The 13,827-nt window shown below is 41.5% G+C and overlaps 1 protein-coding gene across 6 annotated transcripts in view, besides 5 other annotated features; it reads right to left on the bottom strand.

Annotated features, from left to right (window-relative positions):
• OTULIN (OTU deubiquitinase with linear linkage specificity) overlaps positions 1-13,827 on the bottom strand; it is a 51,808-nt gene that overhangs the window by 36,941 nt on the left and 1,040 nt on the right. For 4 of the 6 annotated variants that reach the window (XR_007058658.1, XM_011514151.3, NM_138348.6 and 1 more), the window contains exons 2-3: positions 5,867-5,943; positions 810-904 (exon numbers count right to left, since the gene is read on the bottom strand). Coding sequence is in view for 5 of the 6 variants with exons in the window: in XM_011514151.3 (XP_011512453.1) it covers positions 810-904; positions 5,867-5,943 (172 nt within the window). In the remaining variant the exon portion in view is untranslated. Of the gene's footprint in view, positions 1-809; positions 905-5,866; positions 5,944-10,865; positions 11,004-13,827 lie in introns of those variants that run through there. The other 2 variants (XM_047417864.1, XM_017010015.2) reach the window with 2 other exon arrangements.
• Positions 3,231-3,390: an enhancer, noted in NCBI's record as "active region_22412". NCBI's record gives its function as "activates an Ori minimal core promoter by ATAC-STARR-seq in GM12878 lymphoblastoid cells {active_cell/tissue: GM12878}" and the evidence as "EXISTENCE:reporter gene assay evidence [ECO:0000049][PMID:35858748]".
• Positions 11,157-11,226: an enhancer, noted in NCBI's record as "active region_22411". NCBI's record gives its function as "activates an Ori minimal core promoter by ATAC-STARR-seq in GM12878 lymphoblastoid cells {active_cell/tissue: GM12878}" and the evidence as "EXISTENCE:reporter gene assay evidence [ECO:0000049][PMID:35858748]".
• Positions 11,327-11,396: an enhancer, noted in NCBI's record as "active region_22410". NCBI's record gives its function as "activates an Ori minimal core promoter by ATAC-STARR-seq in GM12878 lymphoblastoid cells {active_cell/tissue: GM12878}" and the evidence as "EXISTENCE:reporter gene assay evidence [ECO:0000049][PMID:35858748]".
• Positions 11,427-11,586: an enhancer, noted in NCBI's record as "active region_22409". NCBI's record gives its function as "activates an Ori minimal core promoter by ATAC-STARR-seq in GM12878 lymphoblastoid cells {active_cell/tissue: GM12878}" and the evidence as "EXISTENCE:reporter gene assay evidence [ECO:0000049][PMID:35858748]".
• Positions 12,891-13,185: a silencer, noted in NCBI's record as "tiled region #4048; HepG2 Repressive non-DNase unmatched - State 2:TssF". NCBI's record gives its function as "represses a minimal TATA promoter and a strong SV40 promoter by Sharpr-MPRA in HepG2 cells {active_cell/tissue: HepG2}" and the evidence as "EXISTENCE:reporter gene assay evidence [ECO:0000049][PMID:27701403]".

Raw genomic sequence — 13,827 nt, 5'->3', positions numbered from 1 at the left:
GTCAGTATCTCTAATATATAAGAAGTGCATTCAAATTCATAATGTAAATAATCCCAAGAGAAAAATGAGCAAAAGATAAACCCAGAGGTTTCAAGAGGTCATGGAAGTCTTAGGTTAAATCTGCTATTTGACTGTTTTTGAGCAATTCACATGGTTCACCCTACTGATAATACTGGATTTGGTATACATCTGAGGGTAGAGCCCACAGGGTCTGCTGCTTGATCAGCTGTGTGGTGTATGTAGGCCATGGTGTCTGAGCTGAGTAATGAACCGGACCAAACAGTCACAGCAGGACCACATCATATGAATCTCCAATGTCATCCCACAGCCTTGGAGACTATCTTGAAGGGAGCAGTTCCTGATTCCCCTGTGTAGGGAGTCCAAGAAGGTTCTAGGCCCCAGGACCAGAGGGTGTGTAAGCAAACTCAATGTGCTGTGGAAAGCAGAAGTGTGGAATCGGCCTGAGGCATCCCTGAGGCTTTTATTTTATAACACCAGACCAAAAAGGACATTCCCAAATGGCCCCAAGAGGACAACCAAGAGCTGGCCCAACTCTGAACAGCAGTCATTTACGTGTTTTTCAAAGAAATTGCGTCACTGAATAACTGATGCTGATTCTATATTAATACTGTGACTTAAAACAAAACCCTTATCTTTGGAGTCTATTTCCTTAACTCTAAAATTAGAACACCAATAACAACGTCTATAGCAGTCATTTTAACTAATGTCTAAAAATATCAAATGACATATTAAACAACTTATGATAGACTATTTGAAAGACCTGAAATATGTGCACCTCTGTGTCATACCATTTTCATACACGTTGCTTTCTGTGTATTTCCTCTCCATTCTTTTTTGCAGTAGTCCATGATATCCATTTCAGGAGCTACGCTTAATCTCGGTTCTGTTAAAGAATTTAAAAAAAAAAAAAGCAAATAATAAATCAAAGCATAATCAGAATACTGCTTCAGTTGGGGGTTACCCTTCACTCTTCATTTTCTTTCTTCACGTCAAAAAATCCAGAATTCAACCACTGCCTAACCGCTGGTCCAGACCACCATCACCTCACCCCTAGATAACCATGGGGGTCTCCCAATGGGTGTCCCTTGTCACCACACTCTCCAGACCATTATCCACATGATAGCTAGCCAGGATGATCCATCTAAACGTGAATCAGATGGTATCAATTACTCCTGCGCTCAGAGAGCTCCAGGGGCTCCTGCCTCATGGCCTTATTCCTCATATAGTCCCCCTCTCTGCCTCTCTGGTCTCTGCTCCTACCATTCCCCACTGAGTGGGCTCCAGCCCCAGCTACAGCCTCCCAATACTCTCCAAAACACCTGGCTTGCTCTTCCCCGCACCTGCAGAGCTGCTCCCTCCCTCCATGCAGGCCTCTGCTCCAGAGTCAGCTGGCACCTTGTATCATAGTATCACGTACACTTTTGCTCTCTATTCCTCTTATACCATTTGGTTTTTCTTCTTAGCACTCATCAACACCTGAAATATTTTTCTGTACCACTCACCCACCACCCCCCACACACACCCATACAAAAATACAGTAAAACACAAGCTCCTTGAGGGCAGGGACTTTGTTTTGTTTCTCAGTTGTGTTGTGTCCTCAGCATCTGGAGCTGCACTGACACACAGGTGCTCATGAATACTTTTCTAATCAAATTACAGACGCGACAGTCTGAACTATGAGAAAACACTTCTAACAATGAGTAATCAGTTTTTTATAACCATTATACAAAGAAATAACACCTACTATAACAAAAATTACATTTAATTATCTTAATGTATTTATGTCCTACCCTGATCCCAAAAACCTAAAAGTGGTCGATAATAAACCAGAAACTAACAGAACTCTCCATGTTTGTTAATCCACAGACCTCACCTGACTCTAACAACACATCCCCCAAAATTAAAAATACAACTCACCATCAGACAAATGTTATAGTGAAAAAAAAATAGCCTTTATATTTTCCCTAGTTTAATATATATGGTTTGGGGTTTGATTTTGTGGTATGTGCATATACACGCACATGCACATATTAGTGTGTGTGTTTTAGGAAGAAAAGGAGGTAAATTTTCAGGCACATCTTGACTTCCTTTTTAAATTACTGAAGACGTAGATGCTAGCAATGATTTTAGAATGCAGAAGTACCTTACAACATATTTACTCCTGAGCAAGTTGTACATAAAATAAAAATGTTTTATTCAACTAAATTCAACAAATATTTACTGAGTGTCTAAAATGTACCAAATATTGAGCTAGGAACTGGGGATAAAAGGTGATGAAGACAGGATTCTATCCTCAAGGGGCTTATGGACTGCTGGAGGAGAAAAGACAACAAGCACTTATAAACCAGGGTGTGATGGGTGCCAGGATGATTAGGAGCACAAAAGAGGCCCTAAATCCTCCTTGCAGTTTAGGTAAATTTAAAAAAAAAATTTTTTAAGTAAACTCTTAAGAACTGCTGATTTTTAATAATCTCACTGTGAATTCTTTTACAAAGAAAAGTAACTTTTTACATACAAGAGAAAATAATACATATACAGATAACATAGACATATTTATCTGTGGCACACATCAGGATTCACTTAAAAGTGAAGCAGACTCCTGAGGTATAATATACAGGGACCACAAAGACCAATGCTGCACAGCCAATCCTTAAAGAATCTTCATTTTTTTTAATTCGAGAAATATTTTTTTGCATGTCTACTTAGTGGATGGAAGCATTCTCATGTAGCTGTCTTTCCATTCCCCTGCCCAAAAGGGAAGAAATGCGAATGTCCAGAGTCAGGACACTTATTGGTCCACATTTTTCCTCCAGGTAGGGTTATGAGCCTGAACAGAAAGCACATGTCCAGCTCAGAAAGGGACTCCTGGGAAGGAAATCTACCTTCCTGCTCTCCTCCCTGCAGTCCTCATTCCTGTGCACACCAAGACAAGACCTGGACAGGGTGGGGCAAGCCCAGCACCCCATGACTGAGGGGAGGAGGCACAAGCCTCACACAGGCCAAGAGATCAAGCCACAGGCCACAGCCAAGTGCTGAATCAGAGGCCTACGTAGCGTAGTGAGGGTTGGGAAAATGGGTACTGGCACAGCTGGCAGCATCAAATACCTGAATTCCCATTCTGCTGTGGTCCTCTGAGGAGGACTCCAATGGCTACTACATGCCAGGTACCAGGCTAGGAGCTGGAGATGCAGGACAAGGCAGTACCTGACCTCGAGCAGCTTATGGAGTTCAAAAGCAACTTTCTTTAGTTGCAAACTACACAGACGCTGCTGTTTTCAAAAAAGGACATTTCTAATGGCAAAAAAATAAAAAATAGAAAAATAGGGAAGTTGAAAACCAGAGTGGTAAGCCACAAGTTGAAATAACCAAGAGGCTTCATCTTTAACCACCACATGGGTGACAAAGACAAGAATCAGACCCTCAGAAGGCGGGAAGTTAAAACTGAAACCCCTCCGGAAAGCAGGGACTCTCAAACAGGGTGGAATAGGATAGGAATCTCAATCTTTGTCTGTAACGGGCCAGACAGGAAATAAGTTAAGGCTTGGAGAGCCATAAGGTTTCTGTCACAGCTACTCAACTTTACTATGCACGAAAGCCACCACAGACAATATGTAAATTAATATGTTTCAAAAAATCTTTATCGACAAAACCAGGTGGCAAGTCAGATTTGGCCTGGAAACCATTGTTTGCTGACTCTCAGGCAAGGTGGAAAAAAATATTTTCACTAACAGAGAGGATAAGAAAACTTTTTGCCTCAGCCTGGGCTCTGAGAGGGTAACAAATGTTATTTCAAGAAAGACAATGAACCCAGAAGGTCTGAGATGATGTGAGAAGTGTAAAGGGATCCATTTCACTCTCAGACTAAAGCTAGGAGTTACAAGACCCACCATAAAGCTTGATTGCCCGTGTGGGGTACAATGCCAGACAGAAGAGAATCACAACCGAGAGCCTACAGGGTGAAATACTGTCAGCGGTAACAAACACCAGCTGAATACACACTTTCTTCTTAGGAATCTGACTAATGAGGACACTGCACCCTACATGAAATTTTGAACAACCACAGAGTAGAGACAGAGCATTCTTCAAGTTTCATGGAAGACTGGAACGGTGCGGCCCCGCCACACATCACTACAAAGAATATCTCCTGTGGCTACCACAGTGAAGAGTTCACCAATTGCTTGAGGGGGGCTCAAGAAGTATTATAAAAACCACACTGTGTATCATTTGTTCCTAATCACACATGACAATGCTTTTGTTCACCAAAAACAGAAGCCAGTTCTCAAAACAGAAGAGCACAGACAAGGGTCTTCTAAGGTTCATGGAAAATGAGTTTTATGAAAAAGCTATGGACGGATTTCAATTTTTTTTGGCACCATAATAAACTCATACTAACTTGTTATAACATGTATGAACAGGATCTAGTCTAAGGCACTAAGAAGGATAAGACATCAGCTTGAAAAGAGCCCCTATTAGAGCAACATGAGTTCTGCTAAAATTAAAGCAAGAAAAAACATCAAACAACGGCAAGAATTTCAATGAGAAATCATTAGGCATCCACCTTACAGTCCTGATCTGGCTCCTTCTGACTTCCTTTTGTTTCCTAATCTTAAGAAGCTTTAAAGGACACACATTTTTCTTCAGCTAATAATGCAAAAAAGACTGCTGCATTCACATTGTTAAATTCCCAGGCCTGTCAGTTCTTTAGGGATGAGTCCAACAAATGGCTGGTATCATCATTTAAAAGTGGCTTGAAACTGATGGAGCTTATGTTGAGAAATAAGGTTTATATTTTTATTTTTTATTTTTTTTTTGAGACAAGGTCTCACTGTTACCCAGGTTGGAGTGCAGTAATGCAATCACGGCTCACTACATCCTCAAACTCCCAGGCTCAAGCGATCCTCCCACCTCCGCCTCCTGAGTAGCTGGCACCACAAACGTACACCACCACGCCCGATTAATTTTTGTATTTTTTGTAGACACAAGGTCTCCTTGTTTGCCCAGGCCGGTCTCGAACTCCTGGACTCAAGCAATCCGCCCGCCTCGGCCTCCCCAAGTGCTGGGATTACGGGCATGATCCACCACACCCAGCCTTCTATCTTTCAATTCCATTTTTCCACAACCGTTTTGAAGTCTCCTTATACATTACACAGGTAATGAAAGAGAAAATGCCACTTGTGATTATTCACGGGATATCCCAAAATCAGAGTAACCCTATGCAGCTCCTGCATGAGGCCACTCAGGGAACTAAGGATGTACGTCACATGCAACTTTGCCAGCCAAGTCTCCACGGACCAGCGGAGGGGTCCAGGAGTAACACCTCACTCCGGCAGCAATGGGTCCTGGTTGGGGTAAGATCAGGCAAGACAAGAAAAACACAGACATGAAATCACAAAACGATGAGACTCTGTGCTACTGATCCCATCACTGTCTTTCTTATTACTTAATCACATTCATATGGCCATCTGCATGCAAAGATGTGCACAGCCAGTTTCTCAGTTAAGTCTTTCCATTTGAAATGAAAAATGCACTTCAAATCTGAACTCTCCCTCTAAGAATATAAGGAAATCAAGAACTGAGAGAGGACGGTGTCAAGAGATTAAACAAAACAATCCTCATAGGTGTGAAAAACGATATGAATGTAAAGAATGCAGAGAGAATGTTTGCATTAAAATTTAAAAGCCTCAGGAAACAGTCTCTAACATACTTCAGCAAAACAATCAATGTAGATAAGACCATATACATAAGAATATTTTATTGATATTTTATGAAAATGGTTATACGGATTTAACTGCATTTTCTGCTATAAACAATAAGAACTCTATAAATAAAACAATTCCAAACATACCTGATGCCCCTCTTTCATGTATAAGCAATTCTTTCTCCTTTTCTATTTCATCTGCAGCACGGTACATGTCCTCCTCACTGAAATTACACCAAAGCAGACATTTTCAAACACTTGTTGCACTGACATTTTCCGTCCTATTATACAGCTGCTTACAAATGCATAATATACTAAGGGTTTAACTTTTTTCACTTTACATGATGATAATCTAATAAAATATGAGTCTTCTATCTTAAGAATAAAGATGCTTATGTTTCTATCTCACCACTTTCTTCTACTTCAGAATTTCTTACTTAAATAAGACAAGTTACATCACTTCATTTGCTAGGTAGCTCTGAAGGCATTTTAATTGTAATGCCTATTAGTGCCTCAACTATATATCTAGACATCATAGCATGCATCTTATTAGTGAAGCTCCTGAACTGATTCTGTCAAGTTCCAAGAATGGAGATAGTGCTGATAAAAATATTTATATAGGAATGCAGGCCCCATTGCCGACCTTTGTAACGTGTCACAAGCAAACCTGACAATAGCTACCTTAAAAACAAGAAGAGACCATCAGTTATTACAAATCGCCAAAGCTAAAAAACCTCCTCGAAATCCTCCTGCTTCCTGACCCCACAATCAACCAGCCACCCATGCAGCTGTTACATAGATTCCCACTGTCCGCTACTACCGACTTCTTACTCAGAGCTTCCTAGTCTCTAGTACTTTAGTTAACTAGCAAGAGCCCACTAAGTACTACAAAGGGAAAAAATCCACTAGATGCTAGACAAAGATGAAGAATGGGACTTCTGGTTTGAAGATGCACCCCTTTTCCCCCAAGATTCACCCCAAAATGACAATAAAGGGAAACAGAAACCCAAATTCTATCTTTCATGAAACCAGAAGACAGGTGAAAGTCCAAAGAGCTGGAAAGCAGATGGAGTGGTAAATGACACAGGACAGGGAAGCCAAGGCTGGGAGATGGGCATCCGTGGCAGGCAAGTCAGAAAACCTGGCAGAACCCCAGAAAGGCTCAGGAACTGGAGGCATCAAGTCCTTCAGGAGGCATGAGTAACACACTGAGCAGAAAACAAGGAGACTAGCTGACCTTCACATAAGCAATGATCAGACCCCCGATTCCCCATACTCCTGCCTCATGAGCGCATACCCCATCCTCACACAAGGCTGCAGACCCAGTGGAACACAGGAAGGAGGAGGTGCCAGGCTAAAAAAAAAATATTCAGTGAATGACTGAGATATCCCTACCCCCAATTCCCTCATCACCCCAGCTCCTGGTATATGGCCTAGTACAGCTGGGGGAAAGAGGAAGAAGTCAGACAGCAAGAGACAGATGAAGAAGGGGTACTGGGAGGGCCAGACTGAGGAAGGAAGTCTCACATGTCCCCACTAAAACCTTTCAATGGTTCCCACTCAGGGAACCAATGTCAAAATTAGGACCTCACCCACCACTCCAGCCTGCATCCCATTATTTCCCTATGCATTACTCACACTTCAGTCCAAACGCCTGACCAACATTATCATGTGCCCATACATCTGTGATTTGCTCAGATGTTCCCTCTTCCTGAACGGCCCACAACTCCTGACCTGCCCCCTGCCAAACACATCACGATACACGCCATGTGGGTAAGCCCTCTGCATGCAGAGTGCAATGATTGGAGTGGGGACCCAGGAATTAGACTGCCAGGGTTTATTTAACTAGTCCTCATTCTGGTCCTTATTAGCTGTATGTATAACTATGACTAGAGTAACTACACCTCTCGGCATCTAGATTTAACCACCTGTCAAAAGGGCAGTAAGAGTATTCACCTTAAAGGGCTTTTTTAAGAAACAGATACATGGAAAATAATTAGCACTCAAAATTAAGTAAGCTATTCTTATTCTCATTTTATATCCACTGTTGCAAAGTATTAATGAACAATCTGACCAATTATCAATTTTTATTTCTTTTTTTCTCTCTAAATGTGTAACTGTGTGTATTTTAACGTTGTGAGGGTAAGGGAACAAGTATCAGAAAAAGGTACTTTCCATGTGCTTTTGCTTCCAGTGAGATTTCAAGTAAAAAGTGTGATGTCATCCTTAGAGCCCATGCCAGAGGTAAAAACAAACAGAAACCTGATTCATGGGGACCATACATCAAAGGCCTAAAATCAAAAGTGACCAAATGTGTTCGTTCTTCTCTCAATAATTTAACATCTTTCAGCCCCTTTCCTGGCTTTATAAAATAAGGGACAAATTCCAATCCTGTAAAACAGACATTTAAGCAAAGCACTTTCATAGTATCATTATCAGAGGCATATATCTTTGGGCAAGCCACTTCCCCACGGCCTCAGTTTTCTCATCTTCAAAATGAGAAGACTGGAAGAGGCCGTGTAAGCTACATGGTTCCTCTTCCAGTTCTTTAGTCTAAGTCTACGAAAACTGTACTTCGAGCAAAATCTGTGGCTATACTACATGCACATTTGGCTCCACTTTTGTTCTCTTTCTTTTTAATCTACAAAATAACCAAAATCCAACATCAATGCCCAGAGGAGGTTCTCTAAACAAGCAACTCTCCATCCCACAAGTACAAATTCCTACAAAGGCCAACAGGAAAGGAAAGGAAACAAACAGCAGAACAAACAGGAGAACTAAATGCAAAGGGAAGCTGAACGGGAAATTACTGGAAATAAAGAGCACAGATTCAGGATATATGAAAAAAGCAAAGCAGAAATGGAAGAATAAGAGAACCAGAGTATAATCAAATTGCTTTAACCACAACTGAATTTCACTCAGATCCTGTGCACAAACATCTGCTTACTTCATGGCCACCAAGGACATACAGAAAATGTAACACAGCCTTTACTAAAGGCCACCATTAAAATAAAAATAATCCTGCTTAAAGCCAGGAGTTCAATACCAGCCTGGGCATAAAGCAAGACCCCGCCTCTACAAAAAAAAAAAAAAATTAATTGGACATGCTGGCACTCACCTGTAATCCCCCCTAGAAAGGAGGCTGAGGAGAGAGGATCACTTAAGCCTAGGAGTTGGAGGCTGCAGTGAGCTATGATCACACCACTGCACTCCTGCCCAGGCAATAGAGTGAGACCCTGTCACTAAAAAAAATTAGTTAATTAATTTTTAAAAAATAATCCCGAAGAATAAGTTTTAGGTTTGAGCAATGAAGCGCAATCAATATATTCAGGAAGGAGGACATTTCGCAGGCAGAATGAAATAGTTACCCGTCTAATAGAAAGATAAGCAAACAGAAAGAGAGGAAGAAACAGAGCCAAAAAATAATAATTTTATTTTAAAAATACTTCACTCAATAAACTTTTGCTTTAATTTTTTAAGTATTAAAATAATAAAGCTGAAAACAATGACACAATGAAATGATACTAAAGGCCAGGAATCTGGAACAGGTAGAGGTTAAGTTTACGTTTTTGTTATGGGATGGGAAGATAATAAAACAATGAGGAAAAGGGATTTGGCAACCTTTTGTGTGTCAAGTTGGGGTGGTGGTGGAGAGGTATCCACTCTGACACAAAAGAAACCACTGAAGCTCAGTGACTCAGGTGATCACCAGATCACACATTCTTTGTGTGGTAAAGAAAAGTTAAGCCAAAGTCTAAATGACTTGATTTTCTGGCAGTCAACCTCAATTCCACAGTTAAAATTTGTTAAAGGATACAAATAAAGGATAAAACTACAGCTGGATAGAAGGAGTAAGTTCTAGTGTTCTATACCATTGTAGGATAACTACAGTTAATAATCTACTATATAGATTCAAACAGCTAGAAGGATATTAGGTGTTCCCAAAACAAAGAAATGATAAATGTTTGAGATGATGGACATGCTAATTACCCTGATCACTATAGTTATGTGTACCAAAACATCACTATGTGCCCCATAAATATGTACAACTTAAAAATAATTAAGCCGATTTAAAAAATTATATATACGTTTTTTGAGAAAGGGTCTCACTCTGTTGCCCAGACTAGACTACAGCCGTGCAACCACAGCTCACTGCAGCTTCGACCTCCTGGGCTCAAGCAGTCTTCCCATCTCAGGCTCAAGTAGCTGAGACCACAGGCATGCACCACCACATCTGGCTAATTTTTAAAATTTGTTATAGAGTCAGGGTCTCACTATGTTGTCCAGGATGGTCTCAAAGTCCTGGGCTCAAGAGATCCTCCCACCTTGATCTCCCAAAGAGCTGGGATTACAGGTGTGAGCCACCGTGCTCAGCCTAAATTTTAAAACCAAATGCTAACAATTCCTAGTTAGAAAATACTTAGTTTTGCACTATGGCATTATTTTAAAGTGTATATTTTCAAGTTCCTATTAAACAATATTTACCTATTTTCTTTTTTTGAGACGGAGTTTCGCTCTTATTGCATAGGCTGGAGTGCAACGGCGCAGTCTCGGCTCACTGCAACCTCTGCCTCCCAGGTTCAAGCAATTCTCCTGCCTCAGACGCCTGAGTAACTGGGATTACAGGCGTCTGCCACCACACCCGGCTAATTTTTGTATTTTTAGTGGAGACAGGGTTTCACCACATTGGCCAGGCTGGTCGTGAACTCCTGACTCTGAGGTGATCTGCCTGCCTCAGCCTCCAAAAGTGCTGGGATTACAGGTGTGAGCCACCGCGCCCGGCCTATTTACCTATTTTCTCTTAACCTGGAGATAAAATATTTTATTTTTGATATTAAGGCAACATATCCAACTGAGTAAGCTATATAACGTTGCATACTAAATTATAACTGGTACCACTTGTTCTGTTCAAAGACCTGCATACCAACCAATTTTTGAAAACTTATTTTAAACATGCTTACTGTACAGACACAAAATTATACTATTCCCAAGAGCAAAAGCTGTGAGTTAAAAGCAGAACTTAGTGAAGCCGAAGGCATTTCTGTGAAGCCAGTTTTTCAATTTTTGATTCAAGTAAATACGTACAGAAAAAAAATCAATTCTAATGTATATGCAAAGCTAACAAGACAGAATTTTAATCACTCACCATTATGAACTTTTTAAAAGTTGTTCCCCTTAGTCGTCTATAAGAACTAAGTATGGCTTTTTTTAATTCAACTCTCTGGACTTGAACCCTGCAGTTCATACTTAACTTAGCCTCTCCTATGAGACTAATGTCAACACTAAGGCAATGTTGGTGAGACAGTGTCAACCAATATTACACTAACACACCTTCCCACACAGGCACAGGAAAAGCAAAGACCACTCAACCCAGCCTTTCTTCACCACTTTGCGGTTCAGAGATGGGTGAACAACACATCAAATACAGGAAAGTACCGGCACCCAGGCCAAAATTCCACCCCTCTTCTGCAAGTGGACTTTCCACGACTGGCTCATGCTACTCCATGTGACTTCCAGAGGTATCCGGGGTCAATGCAGCCACTCTCAATAAGGTTTGATTCTTAGAGACATCCCAGCTCTGGGCCTCAAAGCAGGCTCTTCATGAGGTTGGGAGAAAGTGGACTTTATCCCTACTCCGAACTGTAGCAGCATCTGGGGGTGGGGTGGGGCAGAAAATACATCCACAAGAACAACAGTGTGCCACTTTTTTTGTTCACAGCCCCTCTGAGAATTCAGATTTCATCAGAACCTAAGCCCAGAAACATACATAAAATTGCTTTCAATTTCAGAGGGGTTCACCGACAGTATGCCTCCACAGATTCAAACCCTGTCTCACCCTCAGACAGGCAGAGAAGGGCCATGGAGTAGTCTCTTCTCAATTCCCTAAGCATTTCTGGCCTAGCCAGCAACCATGTCCCAGGACCAGATCAGCAGGAGTCAGATATTGGGGGTGGAGTGAGCAGGGGATAGAGCATAGGAGAGCAGCAGAGGGAGCTTGAAGGTAAACTAATCTGGTCTGACAAAAGAGTTCTTCAAATATGACCCTAAGTTATGTTTCAAGCCATCCTTAGGACTTGTCCAGGAGATGTGAGCCAACCACAGCTCTCAAATGAGCTGCTGGGTGTATGGAAAAAAGGAAGGAAGAGAGGGAGGGAAAGAAAAACTGCAATGAGATATACAAAGTAGTTCATCACTGGGCACTGTGGCTCACGCCTGTAATCCCAGGACTTCAGGAAGCTGCGGCAAGAGGATTGCTTGAGCCCAAGAGGTAGAGACCGGCCTGGGCCACATAGTGAGACTCTGTCTCTACAAAAAGTAAAAAAAAATTAGCTGGGTATGGTGGCGTGCACCTGTTGCCCCAGCTACTTAGGAGGCTGAGGTGGGAGGATCGCTTGAGCCCAGAAGGTTGAGGCTACAGTGAGCCATGATTGTCACTGCACTCCAAACTGGGCAACAGAGAGCGACCCTGTCTCACAAAACAAGAAAACAATGTAGCTTATCCATGTGGTTAATGTTTCTTTTCCCCCACTTCTCTCACGTGTGAAATGCGATGAGCTTAGTGGAAAGGAATCAAGAGTAACCTAGTGTGCTACCTAGGAAATAAGCCATCTCTTTCTCTACTCGTCACCACAGCCTTCAGAGTCACATCCCGAATGTCTAATTCAGCTGCAGAAGTTGGGCTATGATTTGTATTTGTAATTACTGTCCACTGAATGTATTAAAAATGACTCTATAGGATATCTCAAAACTTCTACAGTCTTACAGTGTTCACACTTCTAAGTGTAAACATTTTAAATAATTCCTCTGCATAGCAAACCCAACTATCTGGGCGGAAAGAAAGGCCTTGGCTCCAATGACAAAAAAACACAGACTAAAAATGCACATTACACTATTTAAATTGATACTCAACTATTAAGCTGTATATATCATCATGCAGGAATTGACATGAATACCTTATATTGGAAACTTTGTTTATATGACAACTGTACTAGTTTCTCTAGGCCGTGAGGAAAATACCATAGAGAAACAGCCCACTACCCAGATACTGCCGAGTCAGAAAGATGGAAAAAGGCTAGAAAGTCCAAAACTTGAGACATGATGTTTAAAAGGTGACATCTTAAACTCACCTCTCTTGTTCTGCCCCATCTTATGAGAGGTGAAAGAGAATGAGATAATCAAACGCAACAAAAATAAGGAAAAAGCAAAATTAAGCTGCTAAAAACCACACACACAAACCGGGACATCTACTGGGAAGCAAACTTGGGAAGCAAACCAAGGGGGGAAAAAAAGTGAAGTTGGCTGTCACTATAAATCATGTCTCTCTGCCTGGTTTTGCTGAGGAAGCCCAGAAGAGGTAGGGGGAGGTTCCCATTGATGCATCAGGGTCTCTCCAGCCAAGCTACACTTTAAAAATCTGTGAATGTGTAAAATGACAAACCTAGGCTAGTTTTTTTTTTACATTCCTTTCAGCTCTAAGTCTATATAGTTCTACTAGCAGCAGACAGAAGAGGCACCTGTGCCACAAAAACTCTTCAAGAAAGAGCACTCTTCCTATCATTGTCTGTTTTCACAGGTGTTCTGAATGAGAATCATGTCCACCAGAAAACTTGCCAAATAACTACATATACTTCTGAGAACATGGTCTGGCTTCAAAGTTTCTGCATTGCTCAGGAGGCATGACACAGCTGGGGCCGAGGTGCATGCAGCACGTGAGACAGGGCATTAAATTAAGCGCACTGTTCTCACCACCAGGGTAGAAGGCAGGCAAAGCAGCGATTAGGAACCAGCACGGGCCGTGGAGCAGGGCTTGGGGGCAAGAGACCCTCTATTTAACCCTCTGCAGAGTCTGAGGTTAAGTCTCTGATATGATTTGGATATTTCTCCCCTCCAATCTCATGCTAAAAGGTAATCCCGCTGACTTTCAATCTTATTTTCCAGTGGCCATTAACCCATTAAGTGTGAATAACACCATCCCAAGGGGGCTCTCAACAAATGAGAATGTCTAAGTACTATGCAAATATGTTATTATAACACAATATCTACCTAACAGGCCTCCAAAGGACCCCTTTTTAGGAATTTTTTTTTCAAAAGTTCTAGCAGTGCTTTTT

Source organism: Homo sapiens, chromosome 5 (genome assembly GCF_000001405.40).
Source record: "Homo sapiens chromosome 5, GRCh38.p14 Primary Assembly".
Classification (NCBI taxonomy): Eukaryota; Metazoa; Chordata; class Mammalia; order Primates; family Hominidae; genus Homo; species Homo sapiens.
Note: the sequence above shows the minus strand (reverse complement) of the source record. Positions and strands in the feature narration are given on the sequence as shown.